A 17,850-nucleotide genomic window follows, 5' to 3' on the forward strand; every position below is an offset into this window, starting at 1 on the left:
GCCTAACTGCTTTCCAGAGGGTCAGGGTTTGGGGGGTTGGGGAGGGGTGGCTGGTGGGAGTAGGAGAGGATCACGTTATTTTCTGCAGATCCCACTGCTCTCTCTTGCTTCCTATTGTCTCCGCTGAGTGACATTTGCACCAGCTGCTTCCAAAGGGAGTAGCTTTGGTGAAATGTCACCGGCTTCAGCGGGGATGGCCCTTCTCCATCCTTCATTTCTTCCCCTAATCCTCCCTTCCACCCCTCAAGTGCCTTTTTTATTTTGAAAGGACACTGCCTGGAAATTCAATTGCAGGAAAAAGTAATTACATTTTCTCTTCAGGTGTGCCTCTCAAAAAGCCTTCAAATCATCTCCGGCCAAAGCACTGGGATTATTCCAAAGGGAAACAGGTATTAGTGGCAGCTTTGACGGCTTCCCTCTCTGGGTCTCACTGCTGCTTTTCTCCATGCTTAGGGCCACAATGACAGAGTGGTCGATTGCTTTGCCTCCCTCCCTTCTGCCACCCTCTCCCAGCAGAGGTCAAGGTCTCATTCAATGTCACACAAATAGTAAGTGGTGGGGCTCACCTGGCTTTGCAGCTGGGTCTGTTCAACTCCACAGCTATGCTTTTAATAACTTTGCTATGCAATTGCAGTGACTATATTTGCAGAACCAAAAATTGAGAGGCATGATCTGACAAATATTTTCAATTCCTGATTTATTGCTTTTTTTTTCCAAATTTTTAACATGAAAAGCCACACAAAGGTACAAAAATGAAATCACGTTTTGTTACGCACACATCTAAGTAACATGATCATTATTGGAAAGAAGAAATTACATAAGATTGAAATTGTCCCAATCGTATATTGGGAAATCCAGCTCATAGAGTTGCTATTTGGTGAGAATTGCACTTGACCAGGAGCTAAGAGTCTTAGGTTCTGGTCCAGGTTTGACTTTTAACCAGTTGTGTTTTCTTGATTAATTTACTTCACCCCTCTGGGCCTTATTTTCTCAGTTGGTGAAGTGAGAGAGAATTGGCTCAGATGATGTCTCAGGGCCTTCCCAGGGCCTTCCTAGCACTGATGTTCAATGGCCTTGTAATTCTAGGTATAGACTTCATCGGGGCTGTCAGCGACACACAGATGAGATCCTTCCTTTGGAAATGAGTTTTGTTCCTCTCCTGCTTTAGATTAATCCTGGCAACATCTGAATCCAGCCCTTTGTTGTCTGGAACCCTCTCATGTTCCCTGGGAGCCTACTATTTTTTATAGGCTGAACCCTGGGAACATATTTTTCTGATTTTTCCAGGAAAATGATCTCTGTTTGGACTCAGCTCATTGCTTGCTTCTTTCCCTTTCTTCAACCTAGACCCCCACCTTCTTCTGTCTACCCTCCCCTGCACATCTCAGCCCCTCCCTTCCTGCTGCTTCTAATCGATGCCTCCCCAGTATCTCCTGCTCTCTTTTGCATTTCAGTCATTCTCTGCACATAAATCGAGGTTCAGCATTCCCTGTATGGAAAGGGACAAGAAAACAAGGCCAGCCATGCTTGGCTCGACTGTCGCTGCACAGCCATCTCTCTTCCCCTCCCATCTTTTCCTTTCCTCCCCATTGCATTTAAGTTTTTCTGCACTTTCCACACATCTGAGACTGTGCTATTGAAGATAACCAGAGAGTCTATTCTTGAAGCCCAATAGCAGTTTCTCCTGGCTTTCCTTGACCTTTCTGCAGCTTCTGGCACTGGCACCTTTACCCTTTGAAACACTCATAACTGGCTTCAATTCTCACTACACTGTCCGACTCTGTCTCCTTCATTTTGTACTCATCCTTTATAAGTGGACATGTCAGAGGTCCTGACTCTGACTCATTTTCTACGCTTTCTCTGAGATTTCACCTATCCTTGTTGCTTCTACTAAATCTCTTTGAGGTTTGACATCAAGTTTCTATCAGCCCCATGCACATCTTCATTTGGGTGTTCCATTATCACCTTACTCAACATGTTTGCAAGAAACTTACCATCCTCAATCAAAACCCGCTTCTCCTCTAGATTTCCCACTGCTGTCGATTTTCTGTCAGTTAAGTGGGTTTGAAATCTAGTCAATGTCCCTCAATCCACTTTCTTCCTCACCCACTCCTCCAACCAGTCACTGCAACTGATCTATTTGTTATCCATACGTCTCTTACATACGTCTGCATACGTCCCTCCTATTTCCACTGCTACCTTCCCGATTCTGATTCACACAAAGAATCTCTTTACTAGTCTTTAATTTCTTGATTCTCCAACCCATCCTATTTTCCTCTATGCCAATACCCTTCCGAAAATATCACTTTGCACATTTCTCTGTATCCTTCTGCTTCCTGTGTTCTCAATCACTAAACAAACTTTCAGAAGTTCCCAGAATAACACCCCAAACTCTCAGGCTGACATTGAAAGGCATCCAAAAAGTGGCCCTAATCTATTCTATTCTCACTTCTCATTAGTTCCCACATAAATACAATTTCCTGTAGATAAAAACATATACTTTGTCTGCCCTTTTGTTTATCTAGAGCTTGCTCCTCCTCAGTCCCATGTGCTTGGGCAAGAAAATGGGCCTCCATGAGTGTGATTCTGCACCTATAAAATGGTCATGATCCCTTCTCTGATTTCCTTTGGGGGGTTGTGAGGATGAAATTTACTTATTCAAGAAGCATTTACTGGAGAGGTCCTGGGGACTGGCAAAGATAAATAAGTTACCATCTCTCCCCACTAGGTTGCCCAGGTAATTTGAGGAAGCATACACTTAAAAAACCCACATTGTCAGTAGGATGGGGTGAGCAAGAGTTCGCTGGCACGCACACTGTGCCCCAGCTTGGCCCCACTCCACCAGCCTGAGTCCTGCTCAGCTCCTTTCTAAGCCACCCTCCATCAAGGACTACCTGTCCTCCTCCCTTTCCTCAGGGCCCAGCTCTCCCTAATGTGAAAATGAGTGATAATGGATGCTAATTTAATGTGTTACTTCTTCCAGGTGACATATTTACATTTTAATAGCAGAAAATTCAAAGGAGGATATTTTAAGCACTGTGGCAGTGGGTGGGGACATATTTTGAGTTAGGGAGGATTTGGGGGACCTTAAATCACACTGGATAGGCACCCACTGATTCTACCTCCTAGGATTGGCTGCCCTCGGGAGTCCAGAGATGAGGATCGCCTCCCTGGGCTGTGCCCCCTCCGTATCTGATGGGAGTACTACAGAGTGTCGGACTCCCGGGGCAATGATGGATGAGACATCTGCTCCATGATGGGCTATTACCAACAATTCATTACTGCAAAATGGATTTACCCTAATTAGCCCAGGAGCTCTGAGTTTAATGTGGCATTCTGCAATCTCACAGATTCTGCTGCACACATTGAAGGGGTGCATCACATTTTACAGAGCCAAGAAACCTGAACTACAGAAAACAATGGAGATTTAGCATGCCTCTTGAATTAGTTGACATATTTACTCTTCATGAATAAGCCTGTTTTGTAGACAAACACTGTAGCTCACAGTCTCATTATTAGAAATTAATTCGCTCCACTGCTCTGCCCAAGGGCACAGTTCTCCTTGGGGAACAGTTTTGCCCTTATCATGCTAGTGCTTGCAGTAGGTGACTGGGTTTCTGAAGTTCTGGCCTGGGAATGTTTCTCTAGGGGCAGTTCTGGGAAATGGGCTGAGTCTGTAGGTCTCTGCAGGCCCTTCATCATGAGTCACCTGTGTGAAATTTGCACCTTCTGCATGGGAGCATTTGGGAAGATTTCTTTTTCCCTTTGTAATATGTCCCAGCAAAACCATCATCATATATCCACAGTTTGGGGAAGAGTGAATTATCCAGAACAGTATTCACTTCAAATAATGTGTGACAGACACAGTGTCAATTTCCTAAACTTCTGATATTATAGGTACTGCTGTTGATGCATGAACTCCCTGCCCGGGTTTAGCTTATCCTTGGGAAATTACCCAGCCATTTGTCACATCCTCACAAATGACAGTTCTTCTGGGCTTCTTTTTCTCCAATAGCTCCGGGATCTCTGAGGTCTCTTCTAGATAGAAGATTCTATGTTGCCATCTCCCAAATCAGCAACTGGGGGATTTTTTTTAAAACCCAGGCCCCAAATTGCAGATGTCCCACCTCAATGCTGGTGGTAATGGTGGATGAGGGAGATAACATTTTGGGGGCCAAAGCGCAGTCATTACTTTCTTTTTTCCCTTAGGAGTTAAACTTGCTAATTCATTTCTCTCACTCTGTTAGGTCTCACAAATACAGGCAGTAACCTGTCTTCAGGCTTAAAAGTGCTTATTCATTTAGCCATTTATTCCTTTCACAAATATTTATTGAATGCTCATTAAGTGCAAAGCACTCTGTTAGGTGCTGGGGTTGTACTGGACATGGGGTTTCCCCTAAACAGCAAGAGACTGTTTAGCTCCAGCACAGACACAATCCAATTAGATTTTTTTATCAAGTACTTGTTATGTATTTGTAGTGGATCAGGCCCTGGGGTACAGGAAACCCAGACACTCCCTGAAAGGTACTCACGCCAGGCACACATGCTGTTCTCTGAGGTCAGATTAAGACGAAAGCTTTTGTGCGTAGTATTTTTTCTTCTCTCACACAGCCGGCTTCTTTCCTGCTTAGTGAAGGGGACTCCCAGCCCACCTTTCCAGACCACATTTCCATTAGGATGCTCATTCTAGATTTTGGTGATTTCCCATCTGGATTACATGGAACTATTGGGAAAATGTCCTTACTTTTCAGCAGAAATTTTTATCAGCTGTCTCACCAGCTTAAGCGTTCTTTCTCACCACCAACTTTCTATTCATTTTTATATTCCCATCCTTATCCTGATAGAAAAATCAAGGATCCTGTATAATTTCCACTTAGAACAGGCTGTGTGACTTGGGGCAAGTTTTTATCGTTCTCCTCCCTTTCCTCAGAGAAAGGGAGGATCCTGTATAATTTCCAAGGATCCTCCTGTATAATTTTCATGGACATTTGGGTTGTTTCTACTTTTTGTCTATTATGAATAAGGCTGCTATGAACAGTCATATAGAAATTTAGGTTTTCACTTCTCTCGGGAGGAGTAGAATTGCTGGGTCACAGGGTGATTCTATGTTTACCATTTGGTGGAAATGCCAGACTGCGTCATTTCACATTTCTACCAGCAATTGGTCATTAATTCTCCATCAAGGCAGTGACCAGCCACTCTCTCTGAAGAGTATAAGGAAAAGAAGCTACAGTTCCCACTCCTGTTGCTGGTTTTAGGCCGTAACGAATATTCATTGCTCAACCACCTCCATGACTGATTCTAGATTTCTCTCACCTCTAGCTAGGTTGCTTTTCCAGTGGGTTGCTGAGTATGCTTTTCAACTTTAAAGTGCATTGAATCACCTGAGAATTGTGTTAAAATGCAGAATCTGATTCAGTGGTCTGGGGAGGGACCTGGGCTTCTGCATTTCTAGAAGCTCTCAGGTGGTGTTGATGCTGCTTGTCCGTGGGCATGTTTGGGTAGCAAAGAACTAGGCTATGTTTACCCTTGCTTGCCATTCCCTTGCTAAACCATGGTTGCTGCAATTGCCCCTTTATAGTTTTTGCTGGGTTTCAAGCACCTAGAAAAGCCCCACTGAAACCCCTGGGTTCTAGAAAGAATCTTTCCTCCTCCTGTTGTGCAGCCACAACTCTAGCTTCTTCTGGTAATCAGGGTTATTAATCCCACCAGTATGATAACTCCTGTGTTGTCCATTAGCATGAGGTGTGCCAAGTGACTAAGTGGTAGTCAGCTTTAAGTTCAGTGGAACCTCACTGGCAGAAGAGTTTCTTCCCTGACAACCAGACCTCTTATCCAGCAGGGTCCAGGCTATAGACTGCACAAATTCTGAGTGAGTGGGAAGGATGATGAGAGAGACAAGTCCTACATCCACTCCTTGGTTCCCAGACTGTGTATCCCTGCTGTTTGGGACACAGCACCATATACAATGCCAACATCATTCATTGCTCAGTGCACATACCACATCACCAGTGATTGTGTCCTAACCCTTTGGTGTGTTGTTACAGGGCAGGTGCCTTTGCTCATTCTGCCATTCCTTCAGGATGCTGCTTCTGGATGATGGGGGCCTTAGTAAGACTGGTGAATTCCATGATCACACATGCATTGTGTGGTAAAGTGGCCCTAGGAGCCAGCATTGGTGACTGGGTGGCTGTTGGGTGAAGCTGGTTACCATAGAACTGCTGTCTGGTCACAGCAGTGCAGAGCTGGTCACTGGTGACAATAGAGGTGGAACAGTGGTAAAGGGCCCAAGACAGATGAGGCTGAGGGGATCTGAGAAGATGCATAAGAAGAGTCTCATACAGAGGGCTTGTGGCTTAGAAAGCAAAATACAAACACAAGGCAGAAGAGACACTGACCTCCATGGGAGTTTCAACCTAGTTAGGGTGGAGGGGTGAGCATGGCGTGGAGTAGGTGAGGGGCTTTCAAGCACAGGTACGACAGAACCTGGTCTTGCAGGTCATGCGGACACGAGACTGGTGGAAACGGGAAAGTATTCCAGATGGTCATGGGCAGTGTCAAGAAGAACCCAGATGTGGGAGTGCATGAGTTTATTTAGGGGCTTGAACACAGACAAGTTTGGAGCTGGTTTGTGGGAAGGAATAATAAAATAATTTTAGTAGTGATAGGTAACTTTTATTGAGCCTGTATTGTATGCCTGACACCATTCTGAACTCTTACATGGATTACCTTATTTAAACCTCACAACTACTCCTTAAGGAGACAAGGTCAGTATTTGGGGGTATTTTGAAGAACCATCCAAAGAGTTGGGTCTTTACCATTGCCAAACTAGCACTGGAATAGCTGTGGGCCCCATGAAGACAGGGCCAATTTCTTGCTAACTTTTATATGCTTCGTTCTTTATATAGAGCCTGGCAAATGGGAAAGTATCCATGATATCACTGAATGTTACTAACAGCTATCCCTAACAATGCCCTCAGTGTATACCAGGCACTGTTGAAAGTGCTTGACATGGAAGAAGTTATTTAATCCTCACATAATCCTGTAAGGTAGGCACTAGTATTATACCCATTTTACAGATGAGAAAGTTGAGGCACAGAGATATTAAGTGACTTGTCCAAAGTAACAAAGAAAGAGGGGGCCAATGCCGGGCTTTGGACTCACATAGTCTGGCTTTAGAGTCCACACATTTAGTTAGTATGCCACATGGCCTCTCAAAAACCATTTAGGAGAAAGATTTGGAAATTCTATTGGAAATTAAATGATGGGGAAGGTTTTAAGCCTGGGTTGGTGGGAAGACAGGTGAACAGTTGTTTTAGGGGGTAAGAGGATGTACTTCATTGGGTCATCTATGGTCTCTCTGTTTCCTCCAGAGAGAAGGCATATGCTTCAGGCCTCAAGTATCAGCAGACGTGCAGCTCTGAACATCAGTAGGTGGTTTGTGTGTACATGTTTTCTCTTTTTTTCCCTACAGTGTATTTACACTCAAGATTGAGATAAACATCCATTTGCTTTAACACATGTGAAAATACCTTAGCAACTTCCTGCAGCTCTGGTCTGTTGCTAAGCAGTGACCCTACTGCTACCATGGCAACATCAGAGACTCCGGAGTGCTGCTGGTACCAGCCTCCTGTTCCTGACAAGACTTTGGGAAACTGTTAGCAGGGCCTTAGGAGCACTTTTGCTCTTGGGGGGCAGCCTTGCTCTATTGCTCGTTGGCACTGAGGGAAGCTCTCTGGGGAGAGGAGCCCACCAATGCTTGGCTGACAAGACCTCAGTCATGTCTGATGTGGCTTCACCTTTGCTGCCGTCTTCGTATCACTAGGGGAGCCCTGTGGAGTGGGGTGGAGTTCAAGATGGATTCTCAAGAAGTTATAGGAAGCTCTTTATCAATTCAATTCCTGAGAAGGGCCCACTTCAGGTACCTCCACCCAGCAGAGAGGAGCTATGGTACACCTTGGGGTGTGATCAGGCGAGACGACTATGTCCCTCAAGGGTTCTCAGTAGAAACAGAATCTTGCTCAGAGGTTTAGGAGACTTCACTGAAGGAACTGCTTACAGCAGTGTAGGCAGGACCAGGGGAACAGGTGATGGGTAGTGATGCCCCTGAAATAACAGCAGGAAGCCATTACCACCCCGAGCACTGAAGGGACAAGAGGAGGAAATGGCTTTATAGAAATGATATTCCAGTTTTAAAGCTGGTACCATGGAGCAGGGGCCACTCAGCAGAAGAGACAGTATGGGATGCAAATATTGCGAGAGATACAGCTCTGAGGAGGAAGGAGGAGAGTGAACAGCTGAAACTCATCTGTCATCCTTTGATCTTTGCCAGTGTGTCCCTTTAGCCAGATGGAACTGGAAACAGGCCACAAGGTAGCCCAGGTATTGTAGTCTGTGAGGGTATCAGCCTCTTGAGTACAGAGCAGAGATGGGAGAATAATGAATTTGGCGGGTGTGTATGATCTATAAATGTGGGGAAGGGAAACAGGCTAACTAACATGGCTGGGTTAGCTTGACTGGGAGCAGGCGGGCTGGGAGGAACAGAAACTCCAACAAGGTCTACCTGTGGGGTAGGATGAGACCCTAAGAGCAGAGCCAGCCACAGACACTGGAAGGAGCCATGTTTAACAGGGGGCATAGCATCTGGGATAACGAGTAGTCAACATGATGGAAGCCCAACATCCCACTGCCCTAAATGACCCTATAATAGCACTCTCCCTGACCCACAGGCAAGGCTGAGGGAGCTTTATAGGAAGTGTCTGGCCTCTGGGTTGCACAGCTGAATCATATCCCTTCAGGTTCTTCTAAACCTTCCTGTTACCTCCTCCACTTGGCCTTCCATTGGTCTCAATCTGACTGTTATTTCTCAGCCCAGTTACCTTGGATGGACAAAGTTTAGACCAGAACAGCATCAGCACTACCTGGGAACTTATTAGAAGTGCATATTTGCAAGGCCCCAGCTCAGACCTGCTTAATCAGAGGCATTTGGGTTAGGGCCCAACAATCTGTGTTTTAGCACTCTCTCCAAGTGATTCTGCTACACTCTGAAGTTGTGAAATAACTTCAACACCAAAACACTGAAGTTTGAGAACTAGTGATTTGGATTGTGTGATTAGCTTGCAACCCTCCATTTAACCTGAATGATGCTCCTACTGTCTTCTCTGGCTCATTGTTCTGCAGCCTCTGGCTAGCTCCACACATTCTTATGTTCTGTTCTAGCTTGGAGAGTTCCCACCAGGGATCAGAGACTTGGGCACCCATTTGCCTGAGAAGAAAGTTTGGAGAGAAGTAATCTAGGGAATTATGAGCAATTCAGGTGCTTGGACATAGGTAGTTAGCTGTTAGGTCCCAGCTGCAGAATTGGGATTCAGAGGTAGGACACTCTGAACTAGCAGGGGCAAGCTGATGAGCAAGTCAGGGGCTCCAGCATAGGGTGTGATGAGAGGCAGTCCTTCACAGATCTCTCCCATTTCTGCACATTCTGGAGACAAGCACCAACTTCCCTTTGCTCTGAACTATCTTTTCAAGGGTGTTTGTGTAGTGAACAGCCTGGAAAATAGAGATTGTATTTCTTTCTGGAGCAAAGAGCAGTCATAGCTATTGACCCTTATAAAGATTTAAGTTTCCTAAGTTCAGGGTTTCTATCTTATAATACAACCCACTGTGTGTGCAAGTGCCATCTGGCCTTCTTTATGTTGCCTTGTAGACACTGGGGCCTAGGGAACTGGTGCAAAAAATAATGATACACTGGCTGCTGCAATTACTGTAAGTAGTAAACTGCCTCTTGTCTCTGACCCTGGAGTCTCATATCTTCTATAAGTAATCATGAAAATATGGCAGGCTAACTTGTTACCTTGTAAGTATTATAAAATATCAGGCTCTTCACAGTTCTTGAGAGGCACAAAGTAGGCCTGAGCCTCAAGAAAGAAGGGGATGGACAAGCAGCAAATATGACCGAGAGCAGCAAAGCTAACCTGGGTCAGGGTTAGTGCTAGGGGTAGGGCAGAGCTGTGTGGGGTCACAGGGCTCTACCTGGTGGAAAAGGAGGGAAGAAGAGACCAGGATTCAAGATACCCTTTTAGGTAACAGTACCAATAAAGATAATAGACTTAATAGGCTGTGCTACTCCATTTGTGCTGCTATAATAGAATACCATGATCTAGGTAATTTATAAAGAATATAAATTTATTTTCTCGCAGTTCTGGAGGCTGGGAACTCCAAGATCAAGGTGCCAGCAGGCTTGATTGTCTGGTGAGGGAGGGCTGTGTCCTCTGGTGGGGAGAAATGCTGTGTCCCAACACAACATAGGGGCAAGAAGGGACAAGCCCCCTCTGTCAAGCCCCTTTATAAGGATACCTAATCTCATTCATGAGGGAGGAGCCCTCATGGCCTAATTGCTTCTTAAAGGCCCCACCTCTTTATACTATCACCTTGGCAACACCTGAATATTGGAAGGACACATGCAAACCTGCCTGCACATTTGAAACATCTGAAGAGCTTTAAAAAAAAAACAACTATAACCGATGCCTGGGTCCTGCCTCCACAGATTCTGATCTCATTGGTAGCAGAATATGGTTGGCTACCAGCTCATCAGGTAGTCCTAAAATTCAGCTATATATGAGAACCATGGATCTATACTAGCTGTCTCTTTTTACCCATGAGGGAACTGAGGCTCAGAGAGTTGAAGTGACTTGATAAAAGGTCTGTTTGCTTTGAATTTTTCTAGGCTGAATTTCTAGATCCCAGGCTTTGTGTCTGGCTCAAGCCCTCAGAGCCATGGATGCTGCTTTCTGTGGTTCAGAACCTAGACTTGACTCTGGCCAGAGTCTCACCTAAAACTTGACCAACAGAGGCATTCTCAGTGTAGTGCATCAATACTGTGACCCAGAGGGAAATCTTTTGCTTTATCTAGTCAAGTAGGAGTCTGGGTTGCTAAGCAACCAGACACTCTTAGGCAGTTGTGCTGCTCTGTGGTGGTGCTTTGCATGTTAAGGCTTCTGGGGTGGTTTCTAGAGGCCCACAAGAGTTCTAAGGGGCAGCACATGGGAGCTTAGCGTGCTCCCATGTGATCCCTATGTGTGTGCTCCCCAAAAATGGGGGTGCGAGTTCACTTCCATTTTTGCCTTACTTTCAGGGATGTTACAGTGCAGACAAAGATTCTGGTGCCTCACAAGATTTGACACAAGCCAGCGCTTTGTTGTTTTTCTCACCTGTTGGCCAGAAGATTATCTTGGAGCAGGAAAAGGTTTGTTTTAGTTTTGGCCTGAAGGCCTCTTATAATTTTTTAAATTTAGAAAGAATTTCAAACTCACTGAAAATTACAAGAATAAGAACAGTACAAAGTGTGCCCTGATTCCTCTATTTTTAACATTTAATCCATTCGCTTTATGATTTGTCATCTCTTTTTCTCTTTCTCTGTCTCTCTCTGTATTGTATGTGTGTGATATATATTCTTTTTTTTTTTTTGAGATGAAGTCTTGTTCTGTTGCCCAGGCTGGAGTACAGTAGCATGATCTCAGCTCACTGCAACCTCAACCTCCAGGGTTCAAATGATTGTTATGCCTCAGCCTCCCCAGAAGCTAGGATTACAGGGGCAAGCCACTAAGCTCGGCTAATTTTTGTATTTTTAGTAGAGACGGTGTTTCACCATGCTGGCCAGGCTGGTCTCGAACTCCTGACCTTAAGTGATCCGCCTGCTTCGGCCTCCCAAAGTGCTGGATTACAGGTGTGAGCCACCGTGCCCAGTCGGCTCAAACTATATATTCTTTAACCGCATGAAAATAAGTTGTATATATTGTGATCCTTTACCCTGAAATATTTCAGTGTAAAGTGTCTTAAAAGAGGGGGTATTCTTTTTCTCATTCTCTTACAGAACCACCTGTGTAACCACAGGTTCGTTATCAACCTCAATAAGCTTAGTATTAATATATGTTTATCTAATCCATTTTCTGTATTCCAATTTTGTCAGTTAACCCTATAATGACCTTTGGAACACTTTTTCCCACCAAGGCAGGATCCAAACTTGGGATAATGTATTAAATTTTATCGTCTTGTTTCTTTAGTCTCCTTTAATCTGAAATATTCTCATAGCCTTTCATGTTGGGTTTATCCTTTGCTTTGTCATCGTGGATTTGGGCTATTCGTTCCAGGTCAGAATGCTACCTAAGTGATGCTGTGCTGCTCTCAGGGTATTACAACTAGAGTCACACAATGTCAATATGCTCCTTCTTAATTTTGATCAACTGGTCAAGGTGTTGTTCAATTTCCCCACCATATAGTTACTATTTTATCCTTTGCAACTAATAAGCAATTTAAGACCATACAAGCATCAAAACTCCCCGCTGGATTTAGCATCCTATTGATAATTCTTGCCTGAACCAATCTTTACTCTGAAGGTTTCATAATGATTTCCCAACTCCAACATCCTGAGAGCTCTTATTAATAAACTATGAAAGAGGCTTCCTGGCAAGATTCATTTTTGACTTTGGGAGGCAATTTGAGGCTGCCGAAAAGGCACCCCTGTTTCTTTGTCTCTAGGCAGGGGCTGCACATAGTGTCTGCCCATGAAGTTCACTCCCTCCAAGCATGCTGCACCTGCCTGATTTGGGTTTTAAATCTCTGCTTGGATACATGTTTTAATCTCTATGTTATACAGGGTTCTGAATAGTGAATTCATCTTATAATCATTGGCATTAGCAAAGCGTTTCTGAGTTTTGGGGTAATGCATTCATTTGTTTATTCATTTAGGTTAGGTGGTTAAGAAGGATTTGAGAGTCTGTAATTACCATGCAGGGCACTAGGTGCTGGGCAGAGTGGTGAATAAAACAGGCATGGAGCCTATCATCAAGAGGCTTAAAGTCTAGTGGGGAAGACAGACATTGTGCAGGTAATTGATAGTACACTAAATTTTACAACAGGGCAAGTAGATTGCCTTCTGAGCATTTATCAGCAGAAGCTAACCTAATCTGGGGGCAGGGCAAGCCCTTCCTGAGGAAATGAAATGATGAGTTATAATGATCTTGGCAGAAGTGGGTGAGGTGGGAGCAGCAAGTGCAAACTCCCAGAAGCGACAGAGCATGGTGTGTGCTCCCATCTAGATGGCTGGGTGTGGGGGCAAGGGCTGGGTGGCTCATGAGAAGACTGAGAAATGGGTCAGATCCAAATTATGGATCTTTTGGATCCAAGCCTTTTGAGTCTTGATAAAGATTTTGGTTTTTATTCTAGGAGCCAAGAGAAGCCTCTGAAGGATTGTAAACAGAAGAATGATCCAATTGTGTTTGTAAATTAAAAGGTCACCCTGGCTGCTTTGTGGGAAATGGATCTGAATGGGTGGGAAAAGAATGAAGCCAGGTAGAAGTTGGGAAATCAGTTAGGAGGCTGTAAAGAAGTCCAAGTGGAAGATGATGATGGCCCAGCTAGGACGGCAGCCGAATGAATGGGAGAAGGTTTATCAATTCCTCTGATTTTCCATCTCTCAATAGGGATCGTGGATGCTGTATGAAGCTTAAATTCCTAAGAACCATAGACACTGTTCAAACACAAGACAGTGCCCCATTAGAGGAATGAAGCTCTCAATCTAGGTGGGAAACACATAGAATCCTTAAGAAAGAAGCTTACTCGTATTTACAAAGAATAGCCAAGCATGGACCGTGGTCTTCCTTGTAGTTAATGAGTTAGGTTTGCTGGGTAATAGCTCACTTGCTCCTTTCTATTTTTACAAAAGCAGATGATTCTGTTACTAAGTATTCCACAGTTTAATTTGATCTGCGTGTCCATTTGCACTTCAGAAGTATTATGGACATGGCCAATTTTGGCTCCCAGACAATACAAAATTATCATGGAATCTTCTCCCCCAGCCCAGCATTCTTTGCTTTGTCTGCAGTTTTTATGGCACATGATATTTTCCCATTAACTTTTATTAGATCCATAATTTTTTTATTAGCATTGAGTAATAACTGTTTTCAGTGGCCCCACTCTTCCGAGGAGTCCTTGATTAGTAGTCCATGATAACAGTTGCTAAATTGAAGTTTCTTCTGCCAGCATTTCACCCGCAATAAATCCAACTATTCTACCTCATCTTGCTTAAAAAGCCATGAAATTCCCAGACATTATCAGAAAAATGACCACAGTCAAAGTGCTCTAAATGGAGATGGAAATTAAGCTCTTGCCTATTTGAATCAAGATGTTTCATAGTTATGGGCTGAGAGTGAGAACTTTCAACTCAAGTGAAAACTCTCCTCACTTCTCCTCTCTGCAGGATTTCTCTTATTAGGGAGATTGTTTATTGATCCACAGTTCCAGATTGGGACTGTGTCTGATGGACAAAAAGGAATTGTTTTAATATTAGCAATAGTAGTTGTTTTTCTTCCCTCATATTAAGGATGAAATGAGCATCAGGTGGGAACTTGCCCAGAGCAGAGTAGGATATGGGGCTAGCTGCTCTTGGAGATATGTTGTCCGGTTCAAAAATCTCTCATCTTGTGCTTCCAGTGAAGTTTCTGTTACCTAAATTTAGTGTATCTAATATTTAGTGTGCCTAGTATCAGTTCAGTTCAATTCAATTTGATAGGAGATTTTTGATATTTCTTACGTTGTGGCCAGCCAAGATCCCTATATTCATTAGGATTGGTTAAACTACAAGTGACAGAAACCCCCAAATTTCTCTCATGTAAAAGAAGTGTAGAGATTGAGAATCCAGGATTTACTGGACAAGTTACAAAGTGGTCAGGACCTAGGCTGATATCTTGCTGCTGGGACATCCTCAACATGTAGCTTTCAGCTCATGATTCAAGATGGCTGCCTGAGATCTAGCCATCTGTATTCTAACAGTAGAAAGGAAGAAGGGAAAAACAAAGTCATGCCGCCTTCCTTTAAGGACACTTCCAGGGAGTTCCACGTGACCCTTCCACCTAAATCCATTGGCCAGAATTGACTCATATGGGCATATCTATCTGTAAAGGAGGCTAGAAAATAAATATTATTATTCCAGGCACCTTGTGCTGAGCCAAAATGTTGGGGATTCTATTACTAAGGAAGAATAGGAGAATCCATTTTGGGGGACATCTAATAGGATCTAACAACAGATATTCAAGCTATCTTCTCTAGATTTTTTAAGAGCTCCCCATTTGTTCTTGAGTATTCAGGAAACCAATTTTAAAACAGATGCTTCCTGTCTTTGGAAAAATGAGGTTCAAATTTCACAATCCAAAGACTGGAAACTGAGCAAAGAAATGCTTCTGGTATATATATAGCTGATGACTTTGAGAAATACTAGGATACACAGCAGCTTCAAACAATTATCCATCATCCATCTATCCATCCATCCATCCTTTTGACACATTTATTGAGTACCTGCTATATGCCAGACCCACGCTCATGGCTTAGAAAAAGCATATGATGAATAAGTTATTTCTCACACTCAAGAAACTCATGATTTGGTGTAGGAAAATGGTAGGTAAATTAATAATTTCAGGTGATAAATGCTATAATAGAGATAATCATTCATTTACTTTCCCATTCAACAAATACTTTTTGAATACCTACTATGTACTAGGTGCTCTGCTAGACACTGAAGATACAGAAATAAAAAGTCAAGTTCTCTACCAAAAAAAAGTAAAATGCAGAGTGATAAAAGGATCTAGTGGAGGCATGGCTGGGAACAATGGGAACTTGTGGAGGGTAAGCTTACTTCTGCCTGGTTGAGTCAGAAAATGCTCCAGGAGGAGGTAACTGCTGAACTAAAGCATGAAGGAGGAGTAGAGCTTTGCCAATACAAACTTGAGCCTTTTCCTTCTGCCCATTAAGCATTGATAGAATTACCCACCTTTACTTTCCTGCTTATATGTAATTCAATATGTCATGGGTGGGTGGTATTTGGTACCAATCTATACTAGAGACTTTGAATGATTCTGCTACCCAACTGGGTACAAAAAGGTATTTACTTGGTAAGGTTTCTTGTGTGAATGGGTAATAGGAGATATTTCCAATTTTGCTTGGTTTTAAGCAGAGTTGTGATGGCAATATTTTAAATCCGTCTTGGGTCTAGAGGGCCTGACAAATGCATTTCCACCATGGCAAGGAACTGGAAACCAAAAATGATTGTGTCTCAAATGAAATGAAGAGTCTGACAAAATATGTCCTATCAATAGAATGAAATTAGTTATCTGTCAAAATGCATTTGTCCTCTAAATAACCATCCATATGTTTTATGTTTTGGTATTAAATAGACATTCATCAGTTTATCACACTAGCGCTGTCAGAGACCCAGCAATTTGGAACAGAATTTTAAAGATCCTTCTAAAGCAATAACCTAGGAAGAATTTTGGAGGGTTTGTTTTTCTTATTTCTCATTTCTTTTCCATTTCTTCTTTTGATTCCTTTGGCTCCCTTCGGAGCCTGCCGTTTATTACTAAAGAGAGGAGGATCATCTATTTAAATCAATCCAATAATACTATGTTCCAAGGCATTAATTCCTGCCTGCAATCCGCTCCTTGCAGAGAGTGTTGTTTGCCTCCTCAGCTTTCCGTCTTCAGGTGTGGCCTGTGAAGGGGAATGCTGGGTTTGTGACCACTGAGTGCATGAGGTGTGGGCTCCCTTTGGCTCTGTAGCTTCCTTACTGAGAAGTGTGGCCCTGAATCAGGCAGAAGAGGGGGAATGGGTAGGGGGGGTTTGCTGGGAACTCTCCCTCTCTAGTCTGGGCCACTGTCCTTTCTGATTTGTCTGGGAAGTGGGTTATAGGCAGTAAAAATATAGTTCCAAGGGGGCAAGCCAGAGGGCTAGTGAGTCTGCAAGCCTCAATGGTGGGTATTTCAGTCTGTTTCTGGGTAGGGAACTGGCTGCTAAAATGATTACTATCTTGTCAAGCATTTTGTCCATTGAAGAAAACTCATGTAACTTTGCAGACAGAAGCACATTTTGACCAAAGCCCAAAACTATCCATTTAGATAAACCCTAGAATTAATGCTGTGGTTATTAGCGTTAGTATTTGCCCAGGACAGAAATTCATTATAAATAAATGGTTTAGGAGTCAAGCCAGCTGAAGCTCCCCTGGAAGAAGGAAGAACCATGTGGAATTTAAATGACATTTTCACGATGGACACACTGCATTTCCTGAAGCAGGGAGGAACATCGGCCTCCTCTGTTGGTCCCTTCTCCTCTCAGGAGTTACACTCCCAGAGCCTCTGTTACTTGTGCTCTGGAGTGGTGTTTTCAAACCCCGATGGAGGCAGGGTGGGAGGACAGAAAGCAGGCATGAAAGGAGACAGTAGGAAAACCAGGTCCAGACTCTTTGGGAATTCAGGTTTTAGATCTACATTCCTAGGGGAGAAAAAGAGAGAAGAATGGCCAGAGAAGAAATAGATGAATGGAAACATAACATTAATTGCCTACATCGGACTCTCTGGATCTTGGCTTCAAACTCTTCATTTCATCTCTGCTCTCTGTATTTACCTGTCCCCATCCCAGCACACCTGGTCACATTGGTCAAAGCAAAGTTCCCAGCAGGACAGACCTTAGTGCTTCAAGCTCCACCTGCTTACTGTGAAAAATTTATTTCTATTCTAAGGGTCCCAAACATATAAAATTCCTAACGATGTTTGCAGCAATATTGTAATTAGCACTTACTCATTACAGTATCATTATTTGTTAGGGATTTGGATTATCCATAAGACAATACTTTGTTTTTTTTTTGAAGAAAAGTAGTTGACATTTTCATCTTTACAACCCAATCCCCTAGCACAGTGCCTACTCCGATGCTTTGATCCTACTATTTTGACCCCACAGTTATGGCACTTTGTTAAGTGTCAAACAATGCATTTTGACACCACCAATCAAAATGAGAGCTGTTGATAC

General features: G+C 43.4%; 1 long non-coding RNA gene across 2 annotated transcripts in view; it reads left to right on the plus strand.

Moving 5' to 3' along the window:
* The first annotated feature begins 7,697 nt into the window (after positions 1 to 7,697).
* LINC02763 (long intergenic non-protein coding RNA 2763) overlaps positions 7,698 to 17,850 on the plus strand; it is a 59,685-nt gene continuing 49,532 nt past the window's right edge. The window contains exons 1-3 of one of the 2 annotated variants that reach the window (NR_120560.1): positions 9,811 to 10,082; positions 11,135 to 11,245; positions 13,225 to 13,302. This is a non-coding gene — a long non-coding RNA (long intergenic non-protein coding RNA 2763). Of the gene's footprint in view, positions 7,922 to 9,810; positions 10,083 to 11,134; positions 11,246 to 13,224; positions 13,303 to 17,850 lie in introns of those variants that run through there. The other variant, NR_120559.1, reaches the window with a different exon arrangement.

The sequence above is a fragment of the Homo sapiens genome, chromosome 11, assembly GCF_000001405.40.
Source record: "Homo sapiens chromosome 11, GRCh38.p14 Primary Assembly".
In the NCBI taxonomy this organism is placed as follows: Eukaryota; Metazoa; Chordata; class Mammalia; order Primates; family Hominidae; genus Homo; species Homo sapiens.